This window comes from Homo sapiens, chromosome 6, assembly GCF_000001405.40.
Source record: "Homo sapiens chromosome 6, GRCh38.p14 Primary Assembly".
Lineage (NCBI taxonomy): Eukaryota > Metazoa > Chordata > Mammalia > Primates > Hominidae > Homo > Homo sapiens.
Window position 1 is genome coordinate 85,546,730 of NC_000006.12, and position 25,279 is coordinate 85,572,008.

Genomic DNA, 25,279 nt, shown 5'->3' on the forward strand with positions numbered 1-25,279 from the left:
AGGTGGGTGGATCACCTGAGGTCGGGAATTCAAGACCAGCCTGACCAACATGGAGAAACCCCATCTCTACTAAAAATACAAAATTAGCTGGGGTGCTGGCACATGCCTGTAATCCCAGCTACTTGGGAGACTGAGGCAGGAGAATCGCTTGAACCCAGGAGGCGGAGGTTGCAGTGAGCCAAGATCACACCATTGCACTCCAGCCTGGGCAACGAGAGTGAAATTCCGCCTCAAACAAAAAAAAAAAAAAAAAAAGGAAATCGAGTATATGAAATTTAGTACAATGATAGATGGGTACCACAACATCAGATCTGATTTAAAATATTCAAATACATTAAAAGGTTTAAAAATTACTTTCGTAAAATACACAGGTAAGCCTCACCCACAGTCAAACAAAACTGCAACACGTGCACTGCGCCTTCTTGTTTCAGAAAGTTCATAAAACGAAATAAAAGATCTTGTTGCTCTCTGATTTGCTTCAATTCTAACTTCAGCACCTTGATATAAGAGAAAGATTAAGTTTAAGCTATATAAATGAGTTCTAAAATTGTTTATATCAAAAAGGTGTTATTGCTGAAAATTCTTACAGATGGCTTTTTATTTCTAGGTTCTGCAAATTTCTGCAAGAATGGAACCAAAGGAGAAGCCGGTTCAGTTGCTTTTTCAGGCTTTGAAAGAAAGAGAATTATTAACTCAGTAAAATTCCCACTTGATTTGACATACAAAATCAAAATTCAATGCAATCTGAAGTGTTTTCTAATATATTCAATACTCACTGGACTGTCATCTATGAAGATGATAAGCAAATGATTCACAGTATCCTAGTGGAAAATAATAAACATAAGTCAAAATAATTCCACTACTGTATTCTCCCCAGAATTCTCATAACTTGTATCATATTATGTAAGTTTCTAGAAAAATGAAAAAATAAATGGAGCAGTAGCAAAAAATCTGCACATATGTATTACAGCAGGAGTTTTTTTACATCTACAAAACAGGTTCTTAACCTTTGTGAAAATGGGCAAATAAAAGCTATTCTGATTTTGGCATTTAAAATATTTCTAAATCATTCTTGTTTCTTCAAAATCTCACTGGATCAAAGGTAGAAGCATCCAAAGTGTCCATCAATGGATGAACAGATAAGCAAAACATGTTATACACATACAATGAAATATTACTCAGCCTTGAAAAGGAAGGAAATTCTGACACATGCTACAACATGGATGAACCTTGAAGACACTATGCTAAGTGAAATAAGCCAGTCACAAAAAGACTAATACTTATGATTCCACTTATATGTGGTACCCAGAGTAGTCAAATTCATGGAGACAGAAAGCAGAATGGTGGTTGCCAGGGGGGGCTGGAGGGAGGAAGGAATGAGGAGTTATTGTTAACAGATGCAGAGTTTCAATTTCATAAGATGAAGAGTTCTGGAGATGGGGAATGGGGATGGTTGCACAACAATATGAATGTTTTCAGTATCACTGACTATATACATAAAAATGTTTAAGATACTAAATGTTATATTAAGTGTAATTTGTAACAATTTAAAAAAAAATCTTAAGTCTTACTGGATCAGCTAGGAAATCCAAAGAAGGAAGGAACACAGAGCCAGACAGAATCTCTCTTATAAGTAAGGTCAGAGATCTGGAAAAAGAAATAATAATAATTGTTTATATTTAGTGATTTATATTAGTTCTTAACTTTCAAGTGCATGTGAATTACGTAAGGATCTTGTTAAAATGGAGACTATAATTCAGTAGGTCTTGGTTAGGCCCTAAAAGTCTGCATTTCTAACAAACTCTCAACCAATGTTCATGCTACTGGTTTGCAGAACACACGTTGAATAGCAAAGAGTTAGAGTTCTTACTTGGCTAAAATAGAATATTACTTAAGAGAAGAAAAAGTATTCCCTTAACAGGAGGAACTTGGGGGACATTAGGAAAAACTCTCTATCGGCCGGGTGGGGTGGCTCACGCCTGTAATCTCAGAACTTTGGGTGGCCGAGGCAGGGGGATCACAAGGTCAGGAGTTCAAGACCAGCCTGGCCAACATGATGAAACCCCGTCTCTACTAAAAATACAAAAATTAGCTGGGCATGATGGTGCATGCCTGTAATCCCAGCTAATAGGGAGGCTGATGCAGGAGAATCGCTTGAATCCGGCAGGCAGAGGTTGCAGTGAGCCGAGATCACACCACTGAACTCTAGCCTGGGCAACAGAGCAAGACTCTGTCTCAAAAATAATTAAAAAAAAAAAAGAAAGAAAGAAAATACTTTCTATCTAAGAATACTTAAATGTTTATTATATATTTAAATTAATGTTTAATGTAATTACCTTATAATCATATTTACTATTATAAACTAGTCTAGTATAAAAATCATGTAATCAAAATATTAAAATATTTTTAAGAACCACATAAAAATTTTAAACAAAAAGTAGTATTTAAAGTACATCACTTTAAATATCACTAAAAATAAGCCATGGTTACTCCTCTAAGGGTTATTAGGGTAAGAGTAACAAGGTAACTTATGGAATAATCTAAACATGCTCCAGCCAGAAAAAGGGAGAACAGACTAGATGACCTCCAATTCTTTTTCCCAGCTGGATACCTTGAAACATAAACTCATCTATATAGTTTGTTCAAATGTTTCTGCCTATTATAGTTATAATGTGCATGTCTTTAAAGGGGAACACCAATGAAATAAAATATAATGGCATAAAAAATTAATTTTATTCATATTTATATTTTATGTCCAAGATCAGTTTTAAAGAAAAATTCTAAGCTACACAACACACCACAAATAGCACTTAAATTGGCATTTTAAGACCATAATTAATAAATTATATATTAATAACTTAATAAATTTTTTCAAATGAAAAGCTATTCATAGGCTAACCTCAAATTTTAGCATATGCCTATCATAACCAAAAATAGCAATATACATATGGCATGTTATGCAAATACTATTATATTGTCTAGTCTTTTTATACCTGCAGTCTGTTGCTTTAGGAGGCAAAATATAAGGAAAAAGCAGTTCAGTAAGTTTCCTTAAATAGTGCAATTCATCTCTTCGACTTCTCAAAGCAACATGAAGCTCTGGACCATATTCTTCTAAAGCAGCTTGCTGTAAAAACTCTGTATTTTTTACTATAGAGATTAAAGATAAATATTGAAACAAGTTAAGTGACATTAAATAATTTCGGTCATTTCCACTAACAAATAGAAGAGCATGGGCTGGGCGTGGTGGCTCATGCCTGTAATCCCAGCATTTTGTGAGGCCGAGGCAGGCAAATCGCTTGAGGCCAGGAGTTCAAGACCAGCCTGGCCAACATGGCACAATCCCATCTCTACAAAAAATATAAAATTAGCCAGGCATGGGGGCACACGACTGTAGTCCCAGCTACTCAAGAGGCTGAGGCAGAATTGCTTGAACCCAGGAGGCGGAGGTTGCAAGGTTGCAGTGAATGGAGATGTTTCCCAAAAAAATATGTAACGAAGTCATTCCTTTCCTAGCCTCTTTTCAATGTGCATTCTTTATTAGAAGCCTGCTTAGTTTGCAATAAATTGATAAATGGACCCTTTGCAAACAAGAATTTAAACTTACGCCTCTACAAGTTATATAAAATAATAGCAAATGATTAAGTGGAAAAAATTAGAGAAAACAACTTTTACAACTTCTAGCACACATAAGGCTTTTGTTGCCAAATCCTGTATCTTCTTTCTCCTCTCCAAAAGCAAAAACTATCTTACTCAAAATTATTATTATTATCATTATTATTTTGAGACAAGGTCTCGCTCCGTCACCCAGGCTGGAGATATGCACTGGTGTGATCTCAGCTCACTGTAGCCTCGACCTCCTTGGCTCAAGTGATCCTCCGACTTGAGCCTCCAGAGTAGCTGGGCCCACAGGCGGGTACTCCTGTGCCCGGCTAATTTTTGTATTTTTTGTGGAGATGGGGTTTTGTCATGTTGCCCAGGCTGGTCTCAAACTTCTGAACTGAAGCAATCTGCTCACTCCGGCCTCCCAAATTGCTGGGATTATAGGCCTCAAAATTCTTTTTTTTTTTTGAGGCAGAGTTTCTCTCTTATCCCCCAGGCTGGAACGCAATGGCATGATCTCAGTTCACTGCTACCTCCACCTCCCAGGTTCAAGCAATTCTGCCTCAGCCTCCCAAGTAGCTGGGATTACAGGCACCGGCCACCACCTCCAGCTAATTTTTATATTTTTTGTAGAGACAGGGTTTCACCATGTTGGCCAGGCTGGTCTGGAACTCCTGACTTCATGTGATCCACCCACTTCGGCCTCGCAAAGTGCTGGGATTACAGGCATGAGCCACTGCGCCTGGCCTCAGAATTCTTTAATTGCATCTGCTTTCACATCCAAGTAACCTTTTAAAGCACGTACACTATCAAAATATGCCCTCAGCCCTCAGACAAAATGGACTCCCCCTAGCTGAGAAACTGAAATTTAAAATAGATCCAGGCCACCATAGCTCGTGAGGAAGCAGTTATATACTCTGTGTTCTCAGAAAGATGCTATGAAACTTTTTCATACGACCTCCCTTTCTACAATCAAGCAAAACCAGTTCCTGCTGTTGGGAGCCAAGATGAACTGTGGCTGGAAACTCCCTCCCACTAGAAGCCATTTAAAGAAACATCTGTCAGATTCCTGGTTTGGGGCCTGGAAACCAACCAATCAGGGCTCACCTAAACCAACCAATATAAGCTCACCTGTCCCAGCCAATCAGCATTCAGCTGTATCAACCAATCAGAACTCAGCTGCACTGACCAATCAGATTTTAATCCTTCATCTGCATAAACAGGCCTGATTGAGAACCTGGGAAGGAACTTTTGCTATGAAACCAGAACTCTCTCTTTGTTCTCTGGAATGCAGCCTTGTTTCACACTGAAGGCTATGTTTTCCTGGTTTGCAAACTGTTCCCTGAAACAAAGTCTCTTTACTCTCAAATTCCTTTTCAGAGAACTTGTGTTCACAATAGAATATGGCTTCACTGGTTAAGCTCTGGATCTTCTGCCCCATGCAGAGGACATAGGAAATATAAAACTATTTAAAGTAGAAACCCATGAAAGGATAGATTTCTTAATAAATACTGATGACAAAAGTTATGTTAGCAAAGTTTTCTTTTAGACCTGGCAATAACTAGTATTTTCAAATGTAAAATTAATAGTATTGTCTCCTTTTTATAGACCTCAAAAGACTAAGTGGAAAGGCAAGTGATGCTTTTCCCTTTCTGCATTCTGTGCAGAGTTTTCAAATCATGGAGTCTGTGTTGGGAATCTTTTTTTTTTTTTTTTTTTTTTGAGACGGAGTCTCGCTCTGTCGCCCAGGCTGGAGTGCAGTGGCGGGATCTCGGCTCACTGCAAGCTCCGCCTCCCGGGTTCACGCCATTCTCCTGCCTCAGCCTCCCAAGTAGCTGGGACTACAGGCGCCCGCCACTACACCCGGCTAATTTTTTGTATTTTTAGTAGAGACGGGGTTTCACCGTTTTAGCCGGGATGGTCTCGATCTCCTGACCTCGTGATCCGCCCGCCTCGGCCTCCCAAAGTGCTGGGGGAATCTTAACCCTAATTCAATAGCATTTATTTTAGAACTATTTCCTTCTGTTTTTATTGAAATAGAATGCAAGCATATTCATACACAAAAAAAGGCATTATATGCATTGCAACAGTGTGAGTACTGAGATGGAGCAGCAATCCCTCTTAGGGGCCTGCTAGGACCCCCAGCATGAAAATAAAGAAAAAACTTATGAGTCCCAAGGGAAATTGCAGGCACCTAAGCTAGCCCTACAACCAGCAATTAGGAAAGTGAGTGAATAACCTGCTAAACAAGAAAATAATAACATAAACAATTGCCCCAAGTAAGCCAGAGTCACAAGATGTTTGGTTCCCTACAGAAACTAAAGATAAAATTATAACATATATCTTTGAATTATTTTTCAGAAACCTGGACCCCCATTAGATAGAAAATGCCAACCACTGTCACGTAGACCTCAAGGAGGAATTGAGGACTGAACTCTAACCACCGTTCTTTGTTCTAAATTTCTTCCTGAGGGGCCTGGAGAGAGTTACACCCACAGGCCAAGCCTTAACATTCCTTTCTGCTAACCCCAGGTTTTTAGACAAAGCCTTGCTTTCTTAACCAATGCAAACCAAAGACTCTTTGAATCCACCTGTCACTTGTAAGCCCTCACTCACTTCAAGATATCCCCGCTTTCTGAGTCAACCCATGTATAACCCTTCATGTACTGACTTACAATTTTACATGTAATTTTGCTTTCATGAAATTTACCCCAAGTCTAAAAACCCTTGCTTGTATGCCACTGGGGAATTCAGGTCGTAAGCATTAGCTGCCTGTTCTCCTTGTTAGCAATAAATGCCTCACGTTCCCTTGCTGAAAATCCCAGTGTCAGTGCTTGCTTTTTTTCTGCACACTGGGCAAGCAGACCCGAGTTCAGTTTGGCAACAGTACTAAGAAGGTAAATCAAGGCTATCTGCATTTGTGGGTTTAAAGCGGGATTAGCAAAGAACATAGTTTTTATAAAAAACGCATTTTAAATTATTTGCCAAGCTTTTCTCCATTAGAATTTGGGGCATGGGTCTTTTAGAAATTTCTATCGTGAGCATAAAAGTCAGAAATCTCTGCACAGTATCTTAGCACAGTAAGCTGTGCTAAGTCCCAGCTCTGCTTCTTTATTGATAAGATTTTGAACAAATGAAACAATCCCTTTCAGCCTTAGAATCTGTATCAGGCCAGGCGCCCGTGGCTCACGCCTGTAATCCCAGCACCTTAGGAGGCCGAGGCGGACGGATCATGAGGTCAGGAGATCGAGACCATCCTGGCTAACACGGTGAAACCCCGTCTCTACTAAAAATACAAAAAAAATTAGCCAGGCGTGATGGCAGGCGCCTGTAGTCCCAGCTACTCGGGAGGCTGAGGCAGGAGAATGGCGTGAACCCGGGAGGCGGAGCTTGCAGTGAGCCGAAATCGCGCCACTGCACTCCAGCCTCGGCGACAGAGCAAGACTCCGTCTCCAAAAAAAAAAAAAGAATCTGTATCAGTAAACAGTTATTAACACTGAAAAGTCATAATGTAATATAGAAAAGTAATTACAATATTTGGTGTGATTAAGCATTCACACATAATATATAAATTAAATCACCAGATTGGAATCTACTCAGCACCTGTCAGACATAAGGGATTTTTAAAATCCAAGGTGATAAGAAATTAAAGGAAGCAGGCAAAATATTTTAAAGTGGGGGAAAACACCTTAACGGGGAATATAAGCAAAACAGAGTGCTGGAATACAGAGCATGGATTAATCTCCACTGATCACCAGTATATTTAATGCCTAATCAGTTGGCAGTTTTCAGAACACAAAAGGAAAGGTCCACAAAATCCATGATAAAGAGATATCTTCAGGTTGAAAGTCTGGAGTAAGATCCCACACAATCATTATCCAATTTAAGTTTATATATATATATATATGTAGCTATACATATGTATATAAATGTTGAATATACACATATATTCATATATTTCATATACACACATGTGTATATATATACACACACATATATATATTCAACATTTCTAAGAGCCATGGAAGTACTTACATAGACAACTTCTATATAACGCCTATTCTCAAGAAGATTAAGCAGAGAATGCCAAGACAGTAAAGACAACTATGGATGAAGAAATGAAACTTTACTTCCTGAATTATGCTCACATGTAGAGCCAAAGAACTTAGAAAACAAATTTATACATTAAATGAAAAATCAAAAATTTGAAAACTTTTTTTATAAGTCTAATTTACTATCATGATATTTAGAACACTGGGATCTTGGGATAAAATAAGAGCCCTCCTAATTCTCTGAGCCTTTACTTCTATGGACTTCATTAATTATGATGATTACAATGTTATTAATGAATGCAATCTAGCATTTTAGGGTGACTTTATAATTGAGGATGATTTTTTACATGAATAGTAGCAAATAAGCAACCCCTCTCACAAAAATTCAATGATAAATTTTAATCAAATTTGTTTATATATATATCATTCTCCTTTTTTCTTTCTTCTTTTTTTCAGACAGGGTCTTGCTCTGTTGCCCAGGCTGGAGTGTAATTGGGTGATCATAGCTCACTGCAGTCTCAAACTCCTGGGCTCTAGAAATCCTCCTGCTTCAGCCTCCCAAGTAGCTAGGACTTACAGGCACATGCCACCACACTCGGCTAATTTTTTTATTTTTTTGTAGAGACAGGGTATCACTATGTTGCCCAGGCTTGTGTCAAACTCCTAGGCTCAAGTGATCCTCCAGCTTCAGCCTTCCGAAGTGCTGGGATTACCAATGTGATATATATACAACGTCACTCTCATAGAGACAAAGCAATTTGGGGATTTTACTAAACTCATCAATTCTACTAAAAGTTAAAAGATGATTCCATTTATTCATAGTCTGAGAGGCTTCTTGTCTTTGTCTTTAGAACAAAATTAAAACTGTATTAAAAATACTTCCCCCGCACAAAAACCTACAAATGCTTATAACAGCATTATTTATAATTGCCAAAAATTGGACCAAGATGTCCTTCAATTGGTGAATGGATAAACAAAGTGCGGTATATCCGTACAATGGAAAATAACTGAGTAGTAAAAAGAAATGGGTTATCAAGCTATGAAAAGATAGAGGTTAAATGTATATTGCTAAGTGAAAGAAATCCATCTGAAACATACTGTATGATTCCAACTATATAACATTCTGGAAACGTCAAAACTGTAGAGACAGTAAAAAGATCAGTGGTTGCCAGGGATTCCCAGAGGAAAGAAGGATGAACAGAGAAAGCACAGGGGATTTTTAGGGCAGTGAAACTATTCAGTATGCTACTGTAATGATGAATACATGATTATACATTTGTCAAAATCCATAGAATGCACAATGTAAAGAGTAAAACCTAACGAGGCCAGGCACGGTGGCTCATGCCTGTAATCTCAGCATTTTGGGAGGCCAAGGCGTGTGGATCAGCTGAGGTCAGGAATTCGAGACCAGCCTGGTCAACATGGTGAAACCTCATCTCTACTAAAAATACAAAATAGCCAAGCGTGGTGGTGCATGCCTGTAATCCCAGCTACTCGGGAGGCTGAGGCAGGAGACTCACTTGAACCTGGGAAGTGGAGGTTGCAGTGAGCTGAGATTGTGCCATTGGTCTCCAGACTGGGCAACTAGAGCGAAACTGCGTCTCAAAAAATAAAAAAAAAAAACACCAAAAATCTAAACTACAGACTTTAGTTAATAATGATGTATCAATATTGGTACATTGATTATAACAAATGTATCAAGTAATGTAAGATGTTAATACTAGGAAAAGGTGAGAGTACATGAGAACTCACTGTACTTTCTGCTCAATAATTCTTCTGTGAATGCAAAATTGCTCTAAAACATAAAATCTACTGATTTAAAGAAAAATACTTTTCCTATACGTTCTTCTGACAGTAAAGTAGCCTTTACAACACAACAATTAAGTTATGTGTACTTGGCTAGGCACAGTGGCTCACACCTGTAATCTCAGCACTTTGGGAGGCCGAGGCAGGCAGATTGCTTGTGCCCAAGATGTTGAAACCAGCCTGAGCAACACAGTGAGACCTCATCTCTGAAAGAAAAAAAATTTGTTTTTAATTTAAAAAGAAAAAGAAAGTTATGCGTACTCAAACTCTTTCACATTCATCTTTTTTTTTTTTTTTTGAGATGGAGTCTTGCTCTATCACCCAGGCTGGAGTGCAGTGGCATGATTTCTGCCCACCACAACCTCCGCCTCCTGGGTTCAAGTCATTCTCCGGCCTCAGCCTCCTGAGTAGCACCACCACACCTGGCTAATTTTTGTATTTTTAGTAGACATGGGTTTCACCATGTTGGCCAGGCTGGTCTCGAACTCCTGACCTCAAGTGAGCTGCCCACCTCAGCCTCCCAAAGTGCTGGGATTACAGGCATGAGCCACCATGCTCACCCTCAACCTTTTTTTAAACTATGTTGAAAGTAAAATTATTTTTACTTGTTATAAGATGAACACAGAATAATTTTTAAATATATAATTTAAAATAATTCTCATATCTGAGGAACTATTCATATCAAAGGGCAAATAAACTAATAATTTCATTTAACTTCAAATCTACCTATAGCATAATTTCCCAAAATGCTTTTTGATTAAAATAATTGATACTATGTGGGGGGAAAAAATGGTTCCATGCTCAAATGAATTTGGAACATGATAGGTTAAAGTTAAAGCTATTTCACTGCTGTAGGACTACCCAAAGCTTTTGGTGTACTCCTACCTATGGGAATTTCTACAAGGGGAATACAATAAACAAAAAATATGACCGTGAAACCTCTTCTGGTCATATGGTCATGTGTGTAGAGTGGTACTCTGCAGAACATACTTCAGAAACCACTGACAAAAAAGAATACCAAATGCGAATACAAGGAAAATCTCAGTTTCATGAACTAAGTACAGCGCATAGAAGTAGTTTTGTTAAAAAGAAACATTTTAGAGCTTGATCTTAGAGCATGAAAAGTCTCAAATGAGGATTCCACTCATTCACTCAGAAAAGATCCTGCAGGATATGGTAAGAAGGAAAGGAGGAAAGGAAAGAAGGGAAAACATTTAATGAACATATGCTATGTGCAAATCATGACAGGAAAAAGGACAGAACATACATGAGAAGCAGCAAGCAGGTCATCCTGGCCAAAGCATAATATAGTGAAAGACAAGACTAGATCTAATATCTGACTAGATAGAAAAGGATTTAAATACACAGTTTAGATGCTATGACAGTCACTAAATTTGTTTTTTTTAGTAGAAAGACAACATGAGACTTGTCATATCATAAAAGCAACCTTGTAGCAATATAAAGGATGGGCTAGAATAGGTCAAAACCATTGAAACCATTAAGGAGAAAGGGTGAAGAGAAATGAAAGATACTTCAGAGAAATAGATTACCATTCAAAACTGATTAAGAGTGTCAGCAGTAAAGTTAACTTTTATTTTAATTTTTAAAGGCTCTCAAGTTTTCACACATTAACAAACTACTGAAAGACATTTCAGTTTAAGAGAATACTCTCGCATCAACTGTGAATATGTAAGTTAATTAATCAGTACTCATATTTAGATATTTCGGGTGAAAATTGGTGTATAAAAACAAAATTACTCAAACTGTAGTAGAAAACTGTATTACCTTTCTGTCTGGCTTTAACTATCACTTCTATATGCTTCATTGCTGCTTTTAATAGTTTCTTGGTTATAATAGATGGAATATCCACCTAGAAAAATTCAAGATTAAAACTTTTAAAATAATTATCACTAAGTTACAATGGCAGGTACACTACAATTATGATATTGGAATATATCTTAAAAATTAGAAGTATTCAGAATCTTTCAAAAATAACACTTTATATTCCTGCATCATACTAACTGTAACATTAGATAATTTTTTTACCCACAGTACTGAAAATTAATCTTAATATGTATACCTTAAATACTAAATCTTTCCCACAAAATAGTATCTTTACTCCTAGCTTCTTTACGTGTTCTTTGTATTAAATGCGTTCAAGGAAAACTCCAGTAACTTATTATCCCTTTGATGCTGTACATTTGTGATTAGTAAGAAATTAGTTGAAAATGAACTTCTTCATTCAGCTTATGAGATAAATCCTGGTTTGTTTTTTGGGTTTTTGTTGTTTTTTGAGACAGGGTCTCACAGCAGCTGCCCAGCCTGGAGAGCAGTGGCACCATCTCACTGCAGTCTCAGTCTCCCGGGCTCAGGTGATTCTCCCACCTCAGCCTCCTGGGTAGCTGGGAATACAGGCGCATGCCACCACGCCCAGCTAGTTTTTTGTAGTTTTTAGTAGAAACGGGGTTTCGCCATGTTGCCCAGGCTGGTCTCCAACACCTGGACTCAAGTAATCCACCCACCTCAGCCTCCCAACAGCCTCCCAAAGTGCTGGGATTAAAGGCATTAGCCACCATGCCCAGCATGAATCCTGGTTTCAAGATATATGGAAACACCCTATTTTAGAATAAAATTAAGTTTCATCATTCCCCACCAAGATTTTTCAACCTAAAGGCTAGAAGCTGCAGTGATCATGGTAGGTTAGTGAGGGAGGGCTGAGGGCTTATATGCACATGCAGAAAACAGGAAAAAAAAAAAACTAAAAATAAATTATAAATAAATCAACAAAAAGCATATTTATTAGACTTCAACAGGCCCGTCTTCCACCATAAAACTTAATATATTATATATTTCCTTTATCAAAGGCATGAGAAAATTCCATCACAACAGTGTTAATTTTTCAATTCTTTTTAAATTCCATATTAAGGGAACAAAATCCCAGGGTGATAAATCTAGTAAGTATGATGGATCATAAACCCCCAAATTTTAATGATTTGCTGATAAAACCCAGATCAAACATGTTCAGTAAGAGGCGATATTTTTGCTAGTATTATACCTCATTGAAAATAACATCACTCTTCATTTGCCCTTGGCCACTTGGTACTCGCTTATAAATTACTCTCATATTTATCAAATAAACAAGATGTTATAGTTTTCAAACATTTTGTAAAATCTTGTTTTCTGAGAATACTCAGTAAGATTTTTATTTGTAAGTTCCACTTTAGGGAATTCAGGTCAGAATTAAAATGGTAAAATAATGGGTTTGTCACTAAACTTTGATTTTTAAAAAATTGTAGACCCTAAATGATTCTTTGTTTTCATTATTCCCAAACTTCCAATTTACATTATGCAGGCAACAGAATCATGAACAGAACATTGTAGAAGGAATAAGATGACCAAGGCCTAATCTTTTGCCCATTAACATTTGCTAACACTTTGACAAAGTTAATACCTTTCTATAAAATGAATATAATAATGACCCATTTATCTTCCAGGATAGTGACGCAGATAAGAGCCACAGTATAATTCAGAAAATTGAAGAAAATATTTTGCAAATCATTTATCTGATAAAGGACATGTATCCATATAAGTAACTTTTACAACTCAGTAATAAAAAAATAACCCAGTTAAAATGCAGGTAAGGAATTTGAATGGACATTTCTTCAAAGAAGGCAGACAAATGGCAAATAAGCATAAAAGTTCTCAACATTATTGGCATCAGGGATATGCAATTCAAAGCCACCATGGAATATCATGTCACATATACTAGGATGGTTAGAATAAAAGAGTGAGATTATAAATAGTTCTGGCAAGGATGTGGAGAAATTGAGATCCTCATACACTGCTGATGGGAATGTAAATGGTGGAGCCACTTTGGAAAATAGTCTGGCAGTTACTCAAAGTGTTAGACATAGAGTTTTTGATCCAGCAATTGTACTCCTATGTATATACCCAAGATAAGTGAAAATATATATCCGACAAAAAAAAACTTGTATACAAATGCTAACAGGTACATAACAGACAAAAGGTAGAAACAATACAAATATCCATCAACTGATGAATGGATAAACAAAATGTAGTACATTCACACAATGGAATATTAGCCATAAAAAGAATGAAATATTGATACATGCTACAACATAATATGGATAAACCTTGAGAACATTATGCTGAGTAAAAGAAACCAGTCACAAAAGGCCACATATTGTATGATTCCATGTATATGAAATGTTCAGAATAGACATCCAAATCCATAGATATACAAAGTAGATTTGTGGTTGGCTATGGATGAAGGGATAGAAGAGGTGATGTTTATGGCTAGAGGGTACAAGGTCTCTTTCTGGGTGATGAAAATGTTCTAAAATTGACTATGGGGATGGTTGTACAACTGAATATGCTAAAAACCATCAAATCATATACTTCAAATGGGTGAATTACATGGTATGTAAATTATATCTCAATAAAACTATTAACAAACTACATACATATATATCTATAAACCACTCCAAGTATGAGGTGCTATTAATTTAGAATCCACTAAGCTAATCCAAAGCCTAACATAGGCCTGGCACAGTGGCTCACACCTGTAATCCCAGCACTTTGGGAGACCGAGGTGGGTGAATCACTTGAAGTCAGGAGTTCGAGACCAGGCTGGCCAACATAGTGAAACTCTGTCTCTACTAAAAATACAAAAATTAGCCAGGCATGGTGGCGGGCACCTGTAATCCTAGCTACTCCAGAGGCTGAGGCAGGAGAATCGCTTGAACCTGGGAGGTGGAGATTGCAGTGAGCCGAGATGGCACCACTGCACTCCAGCCTGGGTGACACAGTGAGACTCCATCTTAAAAAAAAAAAAAAAAAAGGCTGGGCACGGTGGCTCACATCTGTAATCCCAGCATTTTGGGAAGCTGAAGCAGGGGAATCATTTGAGGTCAGGAGTTCGAGACCAGCCTGGCCAACATGGTGAAATCCCATCTCTACTAAAAATACAAAAAAAGAATTAGTGAGGCGGTAGTGGCACACGCCTATAAGCCTGTAATCCCAGCTACTCGGGAGGCTGAGGTAGGAGAATCGCTTGAGCCTGGAAGGCACAGGTTGCAGTGAGCCGAGATCACACCACTGCACTCCAGTCTGGGCAATAAAGTGAAACCCTGTCTCAAAAAAAAAAAAAGAAAAGGGAAAAGGTTAACACAGAAGAACTGTTCAATTAACTAACGTTTATTAGCTAACCGTAATATGGCAATCAAAATTAATTTTGATAAATCAATTTTTACTTATTCCAAAGTATAACTTAAATGGTTTGTCATCAACCAATTGATATTTCTTACTCTTTCATTCCACTTAAATATTATGAGTCAATTTCCCTAGACTGTCTGTTAAACAATGTGGTGACTGTTTATCAACTATTTTCAAAAGTGACAAAAGCTACATGCAATAGAAAAAGACAAATATAAAGAAGTGCATGGGAAAAAAAATCAGCATCAGCCCACCACCACACTAAGAGTTAACAGTGATAAGGAGGTATATGTCCTTAATATATGTATTAGCAAGCTTTAATATATGAACTTTGTTTTCAAAGTAGAAAAATACCACACATATTAGTTTCCAGCCTGTTCATTTGCCTGTTTCTTTTTTGTTTTTTTTTTTTTCCTTTTTCTTTCCAACTTTTATGTTAGGTTCAGGAAGTACATGTGCAGGCTCATTACATGAGTAAACTGCATGTCATGGGGGTTTGGTGTACAAATTATTTCGTCACCCAAGTAATGAGCACAGTACCCATAAGCAGTTTTTTTATCCTAATCCTCCTCCCACTCTCCACCCTCAAGTAGGTCACCATGTCTATTGCTTCCTTCTTTATGTCCACGTGTACCCAATGTTTAGCTCCTACTTATAAATGAGAACATGCAATATTTGATTTTATGTTCCTGTGTTAATTCACTTAGGACCAGCTACATCCATGTTGCTGCAAAGAACATGATTTCATTCTTTTTTATGGCTGCGTGGTATTCCATGGAGTATATGTACCACATTTTCTTTATCCAGTCCACTACTGCTGGGTATCTAGGTTGATTCCATGTCTACAATTTATATTCCTTTGAATTCTGTTCTAAGTTCTTTCAGAAATCTCCAAACTGCTTTCCACAGTGGCTCAACTCATTTGCATTCCCACCAGCAGCATATGAGCATCCCCTTTACTTGACTATTTAAGATAAATATTTTCCCTTGAAAATAAGTATTATTCTACAAAATGATTGTTCATGGCCGTGTAGAATTCTGTAATTAGGATGTATTATATTTACTCAATTAACAATCTTAGTAGACATCAATTTTTCTTTTCAGTTTTACTTTTTATAAATTATACTGCAATAAATCTTTGAACATACTTTTTGGGCTTTTTTTTTTTTTTTTTTTTTTGAGACAGAGTCTCGCTCTGTTGCCCAAGCACTTGAAGTGCAGTGGTGTGATCTCGGCTCACTGTAACTTCCACCGCCCAGGTTCAAGCGATTCTCCTGCCTCAGCCTCTCAAGTAGCTGGGATTACAGGTGTGCACGATTACACCAGGCTAATTTCTTTGTAGTTTTAGTAGAGATGAGGTTTCACCATGTTGGCCAGGCTGATCTCGAACTCCCGACCTCCAGTGATCTGCCCATCTCAGCCACCTCAGATTACAGGCATGAGCCACGGTGCATGGCCTGGAGTATAGATTTTTTTAAGTCTTAATAAAGATTACCAAACTGCCCTCAAATGTGAGAACTATACCAATTTGAATTTGAACTTGTTTTCCATACATCACCATTACTAGATATTAACACTCTTTTTTACCTTTCCCAGTCTGATAAGTAAAAGAATAATATCTCATTAAAAACATATTTATTTGCTGTGAGACAACATACTTTCAAGTGTTCATTGGCCATTTTGTATCTTTTTTTTGTGAACTACTGTACGTTTTTTGCATATCTTTTCTCTAGCAGTTGACTATATTGTTCACTTCTCAGATAGGTATAGAGTAATTTAACAAGATTAATCTTTATTTTATTACTAGTGGCAGAGATATTATATATTAATAAATTCTCAATACGTTCAATATGTCAATACTGAACTGACAAAGCAGTAGAAAAGTGTGTGTGTCTACAGACAATATACTACAAATATATATAGGCAATGATACAAATATGCACAAAATACAGCTCGAGAAAAATATTTGTTTTTTTGCTTTTTGAGATAGAGTTTCGCTCTTGTTGCCCAGGCTGGAATGCAATGGCACGATCTCGGCTCATTACAACCTCCACCTCCCAGGTTAAAGCAATTCTCCTGCCTTGGCCTCCTGAGTAGCTGGTATTACAGATGCCCGCCCCCATGCCTGGCTAATTTTTTGTATTTTTAGTAGAGACAGAGTTTCACCATGTTGGCCAGGCTGGTCTTGAACTCCTGACCTCGAGTGGTCCGCCCACCTAGGCCTCCCAAAGTGCTGGGATTACAGGCGTGAGCCACCGCGCCTGGCTGAGAAAAATATTTTTTAAAGTAGATCATAATCATTGCCATTTACTCAATAAATCCATCTAACTGGAACATGACTTTTTTCTTTTTTATTATTATTATACTTAAAGTTCTAGGGTACATGTGCACAATGTGCAGGTTTGTTACATATGTATACATGTGCCATGTTGGTGTGCTGCACCCGTTAACTAGTCATTTACATTAGGTATATCTCCTAATACTATCCCTCCCCCCTTCCCCCACCCCATGACAGGTCCTGGTGTGTGATGTTCCCCACCCTGTGTCCAAATGTTCTCATTCTTCAATTCCCACCTATGAGTAAGAACATGCGGTGTTTGGTTATCTGTCCTCATGATAGTTTGCTGAGAATGATGGTTTCCAGCTTCATCCATGTCCCTACAAAGGACATGAACTCATCCTTTTTTATGGCTGCATAGTATTCCATGGTGTATTTGTGCCACATTTTCTTAATCCAGTCTATCACTGATGGACATTTGGGTTGGTTCCAAGTCTTTGCTATTGTGAATAGTGCCGCAATAAACATATGTGTGCATGTGTCTTTAGAGCAGCATGATTTATAATCCTTTGGGTATATACCCAGTAATGGGATGGCTGGGTCAAATGGTATTTCTAGTTCTAGATCCTTGAGGAATCGCCACACTGTCTTCCACAATGGTTGAACTAGTTTACAGTCCCACCAGCAGTGTAAAAGTGTTTCTATTTCTCCACATCCTCTCCAGCACCTGTTGTTGCCTGACTTTTTAATAATTGCCATTCTAACTGGTGTGAGATGGTACCTCATTGTTGTTTTGATTTGCATTTCTCTGATGGCCAGAACATGACTTTTTTCTATAGCTGTCTTTTCATTTCTAATTTCTACAAACCAAGATAACTAAGCATTAAAATGAAAGAAAGCAAAACTGATCGATGGATCAAAAATTATTCACTAATTTTTTAACCTAAAAAAATGAAGACAAAGCAAATACACATGGTATAGGATAAAGTAAAAATAAGGTTTAAGGCCGGGCGCAGTGGCTCACACCTGTAATCCTAGCACTTTGGGAGGAAGAGGTGGGCGGATCACAATGTCAGGAGATCGAGACCATCCTGGCTAACACGGTGAAACCCTGTCTCTACTAAAAATACAAAAAATTAGCCGGGCGTGGTGGCATATTCCTGTAGTCCCAGCTACTCGAGAGGCTGAGGCAGGAGAATCACTTGAACCTGGGAGGCGGAGGTTGCAGTGAGCTGAGATCATGCCACTGTACTCCAGCCTGGGCGACAGAGCAAAACTCTGTCTAAAAAAAAAAAAAAAATTGTTTCAAATAATCTTCTAAAAGATACACTTAGAAAGAGTAAGACCTAATATTTGATAGAGCAGGGTGAGTATAGTCAAAAATTTAATTGTACATTTAAAAGTAACTGAGTATATTTGGATTGTTTGTAACACAAATGATAAATGCTTGAGGGATAGATACCCCATTTTCCATGATGTGATTATTACTTACTACATGCCTGTATCAAAGTATCTCATGTACCCCACAAATATGTACATTTGCCATGTACTCACAAAAAATTGTTTTAAATCTCTTTCATTAAATGATAAAGCCCCAAATTCCCAAATTTCTCATTAAAAATATATACCTTGTGAATCCTTCTTATTAAGACAGATGCAAAAAAACGTAATGTTATTCTCAGTTCATCAACAAAGGATTCATCATCTGTCACATCCCTTCAATAAGGAGAAAAACAAATATTCAGAAGTTCAGAGAAATACAGTTTCACCTTCTACAATCCAAGGGAAAATTTTCCTTTTTTCTGTTTACTTAAGCTACTTTCTTTTTTCATTTACAAATAATACATTTCATTGCAGAAAAAAAGACATGTACAAAAAATAAAACAAACATCTACCATAATTCTAGCATCAAGACATAATCACTATTAACTAAATTGTAACATATATTTCCTTGCAGACATACACGACTACAGTCTTATTTTTACAATACTGAGATTATGTTCTAAGCAACACCAAAGAAAGTTCAAAGAAATAAAACAATGAATAATTTTGGAGAAGCAATAGAATTAATACAAAATTTTTAAATAGTTTAAAATACTTATAAAATAAATTCTAAAAGTTAAAACAAAAAAATGTGTGCTCTATTTGAAAAAGAAATTAAATGAACTGAAACTCAGACATTTTGTAAAACAGAAATTCTGACAACCTTCAACTGAGGAGTTACTTTCATTTTCCTGATGTTTGGAGGGCCCTAGAATTAGAACACTTCCCTAATCAAAGGCAAGAAAAGAAAGAATGATGATATCTTGAACTCAAAGACGGTGTTGTTAACTTTCTTGGCAGAATAGGAAAGATAATTGTATCAACCATGCTTCCCACTGTTAACCCTACAGAAGGGGATATTACAGCATCAATAGCTACAACTGAGAAGAAAGTATACTTTCACACTTAGAAATACAACTAGATTTTATGTCGAAAGTGTCGTAATGAGAGATGGGAGAAGGTAAGGGAGTCTTCACAAAAGGATTCATTTTACAAAAGGCCTCACCATCAGCTTTAGTTAAATGGCAAATGCCAGATATTTAACACAGAACCAAATGTAAATTTACATAGCTCTCCAGGAAAATATGGCATAGAAACGATATTAAATTTGTCTTAAACACTCTGGGTGAATTCAACTAGTAGCATTTTTTTTTTTTTAATTAGAAATTCGGCCAGGCATGGTGGCTCACACCTATAATCCCAACACTTTGGGAGGCCGAGGTGGGTGGATCACTTGAAGTCGGGAGTTTGAGACCAGCCTGACCAACATGGGGAAACCCCATCTCTACTAAAAATACAAAAATTAGCCAAGCATTGTGGTGCACGCCTGTAATCCCAGCTTCTTGGGAGGCTGAGGTGGGAGGATTGCTTGAACCTGGGAGGTGGAGGTTGCAGTGAGCTGAGGTCGCGCCACTGCACTCCAGCCTAGGCAACAGAGTAAGACTCCATCTCAAAGAAAAAAAAAAGAAAGAAAAGAAAATTCAAAATATACTGAATCAATATAAAATCAGGGTAGATGTCATTAAACATCATATGTATAAGCCATGGAGGTATAAGTGTTCAAATATATATTAAACACATGATGCTTATTTAAGAAAATATGTATTTATTAAATGATATAAGTTGGATCTCTCTAATTTCAAAATAGATTTCTGTCAAATCTAAAGTATTTTCTGTATCTTCAAAAGCACAAGGCCCTTGCACGTACATGGCATACACCAAAAACAAAGGTACTTGGGGAAAAAAAAACCATTAATTCTCCAGGAAAAGTACTGAAGCTATCTTTCAATTTAATGAAATATGTGAATACAGATTCCCCTCCAAAAGGTACAATTATTTCAAATGTGAAAACTGTATACAAAATTATTAAATCACTACATTTAGGAGTGATAAGGAATTCTACAAGTTACTTTTCTTTCAAAACACAGCCTAAGTTTTCTTCCTCTTTACTATCACCAAATTATTAATTGACTGATGCCTACATCAGTGGTTCTTAACTAGGGCCAATTATGCCTTCCAGGTCATATCTGGCAACCTCTGAAGACATTTTTATTGGTCACAACTGGTGGCAGAGATGTCTGTTACTAGTATCTAATGGGAGAGGTCAGGGGTGCTAATTATCATGTAATGCACAGTACTGCCCCCAAAACAAATAATTATTTTGGCTAAAAGGTCAACAATGACAAAGTTGAGAAATCCTGGTCTACATGAAAAACATGTCATTAGCATGCTTAACTTAATAGTATTCACTGTATCACAGAAAAAAAGATCTTATAGAAAGAACATACCTGTACCACGGATAAACAAAGTTTTCCAACACTAATTCAAGAACCTGCATAAACAATTATTTTTTAAAGAAAAATAAAATTAATTAGTTTTTGGAAAATAAATGGTACCATTTGGGAATATGTAACATTACCAAGAAACAATTTTATTATCACAAATAGTGACAGTAGGCGGTGAGCAGTGGCTCACACCTGTAATCCCAGCACTTTGGGAGGTCAAGGCAGGTGGATGGCTTTAGCTCACGAGTTTGAGACCAGCCTGGGTAACATGATGAAACCCTGTATCTACAAAAAACAGAACAATAAGCTGGGTGTAGTGACGTGTACCTGTATTCCCAGCTATTTGGGGGGCTGAGGCAGGAGTATCGCTTGAGCCTGAGAGGCAGAGGTTACAGTGAGCCAAGATGTTGCCACTGTACACCAGCCTGGGCGACAGAGTGAGACTCTGTCTCAAAAAAACAAAAAACAAATAACGACAGTAATATAATACTTTCACATGACAAAATGTATATTTCATCCTTATGTGAATGAGGATCAAAGAAAACATATGAGAAAACACTTGGAAAATCATAAAAATTCCACAAATAGAAAAACTTATTATTAGAATGACATGCACATATTTCTAAATATTCCCATAATCAAACAAAAAGTTAAATAAATTGTTCCTGACTCTGAAGCTTAACTGAACCAAAAACGTGCTATGGAAAGAAGAAACAGAGCAAGTTAGTCCTTTCCATTCCTAACTTTATAAGTCAGTATTTTCAGAATACAGTGAAGAAACAAGCAGCTAAGATTTATGTAAGGGGTCAAAATTAGGTGTTAGTGGTTACCTCTGAAGGGAGTATAGTGGCTAGAGAGGAACATAAAGGGGAGTTCTGGGATGCCGGTAACGTTTTGTTTCCTGATCTGAATGCTGGTTACACACATATGTTCGCTTTGCGAAAATTTTACCTGTACACTCAAATCAGTACATAAGTTATATAAGTGAAAAAGTAACAAAACAAAATAAAACAAACCCTGGGTGTTAAATCTTCCATTTCTTGGATTTGGGTGTCGCAGTATGTCATAATTTTTACAAGGAGTTGCAACATTGGGCAGTAACTTACAAATGCAGTAGGGAGGGAACAAAACGACATATCTAATCTAATGCTTCCAAAATCAGATCATATATTTTCTCTGGCAGCAATAATAAAGTTTGTGAATTCTCTAGTTTAAATATTAAGTGAACAATAATTTAGACATTTTAGTACAAAAACTAAGCATTGTTTATATGTGTTGGGAAATGAAAATACATATAAACAGGGATAACAATGAATAGGATAGAGAGAACAGACTAGAACGAGTTATCATTAAACATTTCTTCTTCCTTTATTTCCCACATCCAGCCAATCACCAAGTCCTACTGATTTTATATCCTAAGTAGTGCTTTTCTTTTCTTTTTTTTTTTTTTTTGAGGCGGAGTTTCACTCTTCTTGCCCGGGCTGGAGTGCAATAGCGCAATCTTGGCTCACCTCAACCTCCACCTCCAGGGTTTAAGCAATTCTGCCTCAGCCTCCCAAGTAGCTGGGATTATAGGCATGTGCCACCACAACCAGCTAATTTTGCATTTTTACTAGAGATGGGGTTTCTCCATGTTGGTCAGGCTGGTCTCGAACTCCCGACCTTAGGTGATCCGCCCACCTCGGCCTCCCAAAGTGCTGGGATTACAGGCGTGAGCCAACACGCCCAGCGGGTACTCATTTTCTTACCCCTTATACTGCAGCAATGGCCTCTCAACTCCCTGCTTCCAAGCTCACTCCCTTCCATCCTAAATAGAGTTGCCAAAGTAACCTAAAACATACATTTGACCACATCATCCTCTTGCATGAAATCCTCAACATATCAAACCTGAATATATGAAAATAAGAAAGGTATAAATTGCACTGATTTTGAAGGGGACCTGCTGGCATGCAGCAGCTGCATCACTTCCTTTTCACTCCCAGTGTACCCTATGAGTCACATGTGAAAATTCAAGAAAATCACTGACTTCCAGAATCAATTAATCTAAGCTCCATCAGCATAGCCCTTAAAGTCATTTGATAGTCTCATTTCTAAAGGGCCACATAAAATCCTGATTAAGAACTTAACCAGACCTGAGTTTTTTATTGAGTTCTGTAATCAACCAAATATGAAACTTGAGAAAATTATTAAAATTCTAAATTTCATTTACCTTTGGTAAAATTATCAATAATAGTACCCACTTCATAGGTTATACATAGATTACATGAAATAAAGAATGAGCTTAGCACAATGCCTAATATACAGTAAGTAAATCATTAAATATTAGCTACTAGAATATTGTTTCCTCATTGCCCACATCCTCCCTCACATTTTACTCTCCAGTTTGCTGAACATCCCACCTTGTTTCAAGCCTCTCTTTCCTTTTGAAAGCTCTACTCAAATCCTGAAATACCCTTTCCCACACTATTAGTCTGGCAAACCTCTAGTTCTCCGATCTGATTTCCCTCTCAATAGTTATGAACTTCTCCTCTATACTAATTCTATATACCTTAATTTTTTTCCATTATTGCCTGCATTAAATTATATTGTGATTACCTGTTTATATGCCTGCCTCTACTTCTAGACTAAAGTTCCTGGTAGAAAGGGACCATATCTTCACTTTTAATCACTAGGGCCTAGCCCAGTTCCTACCTATAAGATATCAAAATATGTTTTTAAATGTGAGAGCTAATATTTACTGAGCACCAGTATGTGCCAGGTACTGGACCAAGGGTTTTATACAAGTCCTTTCATTTTTATGAATGAATGACATGTCAAAGACACAAATAATACTCTTGTTAGAAGTTTTCTTCAACAGACCTCAACTTCGCACTCTCCAACAGAAATATAATGTAAGTTACCCATTAATTTTAAATTTTCTAGTAGCTACATTTTTTACAAAGTAAAAAGAAACAGGTGAAATTAATTTTATATTTTATTTAACCCAACACATCCAAAATATTATCATTTCAACATGTAATCAATATAAAAAATGAGATACTTGTCCAGGCGCAGTGGCTGACTCCTATACTACCAACACTTTGGGAGGTCGAGGCAGGTGGATCACAAGGTCAGGAGTTCGAGACCAGCCTGGCCAATATGGTGAAACCCTGTCTCTACTAAAAATACAAAAATTAGCTGGGCGTGGTGGTGTGCGCTTGTAGTCCCAGCTACTTGGGAGGCTGAGGCAAGAGAATCGTTTGAACTCGGGAGGCGGAGGTTGCAGTGAGCCAAGATTATGCCACTGCACTCCAGCCTGGGTGACAGAGCGAGATTCCGTCTCAAAAAAAAAAGAAACTTTACATTCCTTTTTTCTAAGTCTTTTCTTACTAAGTCTTCTTACAAAATCTTCAAAATCCACTATATATTTTATACACAGAACACATGTCAACTTGGACTAGCACATTTCAAGTGTTTATTAATAGCCACATGTGGCTAGGAGCTACCATATTAGACAGAAGTCTTAAATCAGGGTATCTTGAAGATGAAAAAGGCCTTAGAGGCCCGGCATGGTGGCTCACGCCTGTAAACCCAGCACTTTGGGAGGCCGACGTGGGTGGATCACGAGGTCAGGAGATCAAGACCACGTCCTGGCTAACATGTGAAACCCCGTCTCTACTAAAATGACAAAAGAAAAAAAATTAGGCGGGCGTGGTGGTGCACGCCTGCAGTCCCAGCTACTCGGGAGGCTGACGCAGGAGAATCGCTTGAACCCGGGAGGCAGAGGTTGCAATGAGGTGAGATCGCACCACTGCACTCCGGCCTGGGTGGCAGAGCAAGACTCCATCTCAAAAAAAAAAAAAAAAGGCCTTAGAGAGGCAAAGAAAAAAATGCCAAATTTTAATGGGCTTTTATGCAGGATACAAAATGGGATAAAGAACAATTAAGCGGGATTCAGATGCTATTCTTCAACTAATTAACATCCAATTTGATTCAATACACTTTGATCAGCTACCAACAATATACGTGACCTGATACTTGGTGCTAGGAACAAATGAGACTCCATTCCTTGCCTTCAAGGACTTGAGTGTTTTGTCAAATCCACTGAGAAGACAAGTCTTTAAAACAACTAAAACATGTTACCAAAAAGATACACATGAAATCTGACTATAACAAAGATAAGAGAACATGCTTTCCATTCCTGTATTATGCAGAAATACTGAAAAATATCCCATTCCCTACTCTACCCTTCAGTTAGTGTCAAAACTGGGGTCATAATTCAGTAAGCTATATATTGATTTGCTCCTTGCAGTCCAGGGTTCCTTTTGGAATTACAAAATGATATTTCTGCTGCGCTATCATAAAGATGACTGTTTTCATCTTTATGACTGTTTCGGGTAAACCAGTGCTTTCCTTAGCTGAAAATGTCTAAATTAAACATGAGATTCAAAAACATTTCTAGCTTACTACTCAAGTTGTTTAGTCTGCAATAATCAACT

At 37.5% G+C, this 25,279-nt stretch overlaps 1 protein-coding gene across 44 annotated transcripts in view, besides 3 other annotated features; it reads right to left on the bottom strand.

The window, feature by feature from the left end:
* Positions 1-25,279, bottom strand: part of SNX14 (sorting nexin 14) — an 88,363-nt gene that overhangs the window by 41,234 nt on the left and 21,850 nt on the right. For 21 of the 44 annotated variants that reach the window (NR_146774.2, NR_146775.2, NR_146779.2 and 18 more), the window contains 8 exons: positions 20,805-20,848; positions 18,603-18,690; positions 11,247-11,331; positions 2,994-3,150; positions 1,572-1,647; positions 777-821; positions 588-668; positions 383-497 (listed from right to left, as the gene is read on the bottom strand). Coding sequence is in view for 32 of the 44 variants with exons in the window: in NM_001350539.2 (NP_001337468.1) it covers positions 383-497; positions 588-668; positions 777-821; positions 1,572-1,647; positions 2,994-3,150; positions 11,247-11,331; positions 18,603-18,690; positions 20,805-20,848 (691 nt within the window). In the remaining 12 variants the exon portion in view is untranslated. Of the gene's footprint in view, positions 1-354; positions 498-587; positions 669-776; positions 822-1,571; positions 1,648-2,993; positions 3,151-11,246; positions 11,332-18,602; positions 18,691-20,804; positions 20,849-25,279 lie in introns of all 44 variants that reach the window. The other 23 variants (NR_146776.2, XM_047419128.1, NM_001350543.2 and 20 more) reach the window with 8 other exon arrangements.
* Positions 4,582-4,876: an enhancer, noted in NCBI's record as "tiled region #13581; K562 Activating DNase matched - State 16:ElonW". NCBI's record gives its function as "activates a minimal TATA promoter and a strong SV40 promoter by Sharpr-MPRA in K562 cells {active_cell/tissue: K562}" and the evidence as "EXISTENCE:reporter gene assay evidence [ECO:0000049][PMID:27701403]".
* Positions 6,442-6,943: an enhancer, noted in NCBI's record as "H3K4me1 hESC enhancer chr6:86262889-86263390 (GRCh37/hg19 assembly coordinates)". NCBI's record gives its function as "activates a minimal SCP1, AML or CMV promoter by ChIP-STARR-seq in primed H9 embryonic stem cells {active_cell/tissue: H9 hESC(primed)}" and the evidence as "EXISTENCE:reporter gene assay evidence [ECO:0000049][PMID:30033119]".
* Positions 6,944-7,443: an enhancer, noted in NCBI's record as "H3K4me1 hESC enhancer chr6:86263391-86263890 (GRCh37/hg19 assembly coordinates)". NCBI's record gives its function as "activates a minimal SCP1, AML or CMV promoter by ChIP-STARR-seq in primed H9 embryonic stem cells {active_cell/tissue: H9 hESC(primed)}" and the evidence as "EXISTENCE:reporter gene assay evidence [ECO:0000049][PMID:30033119]".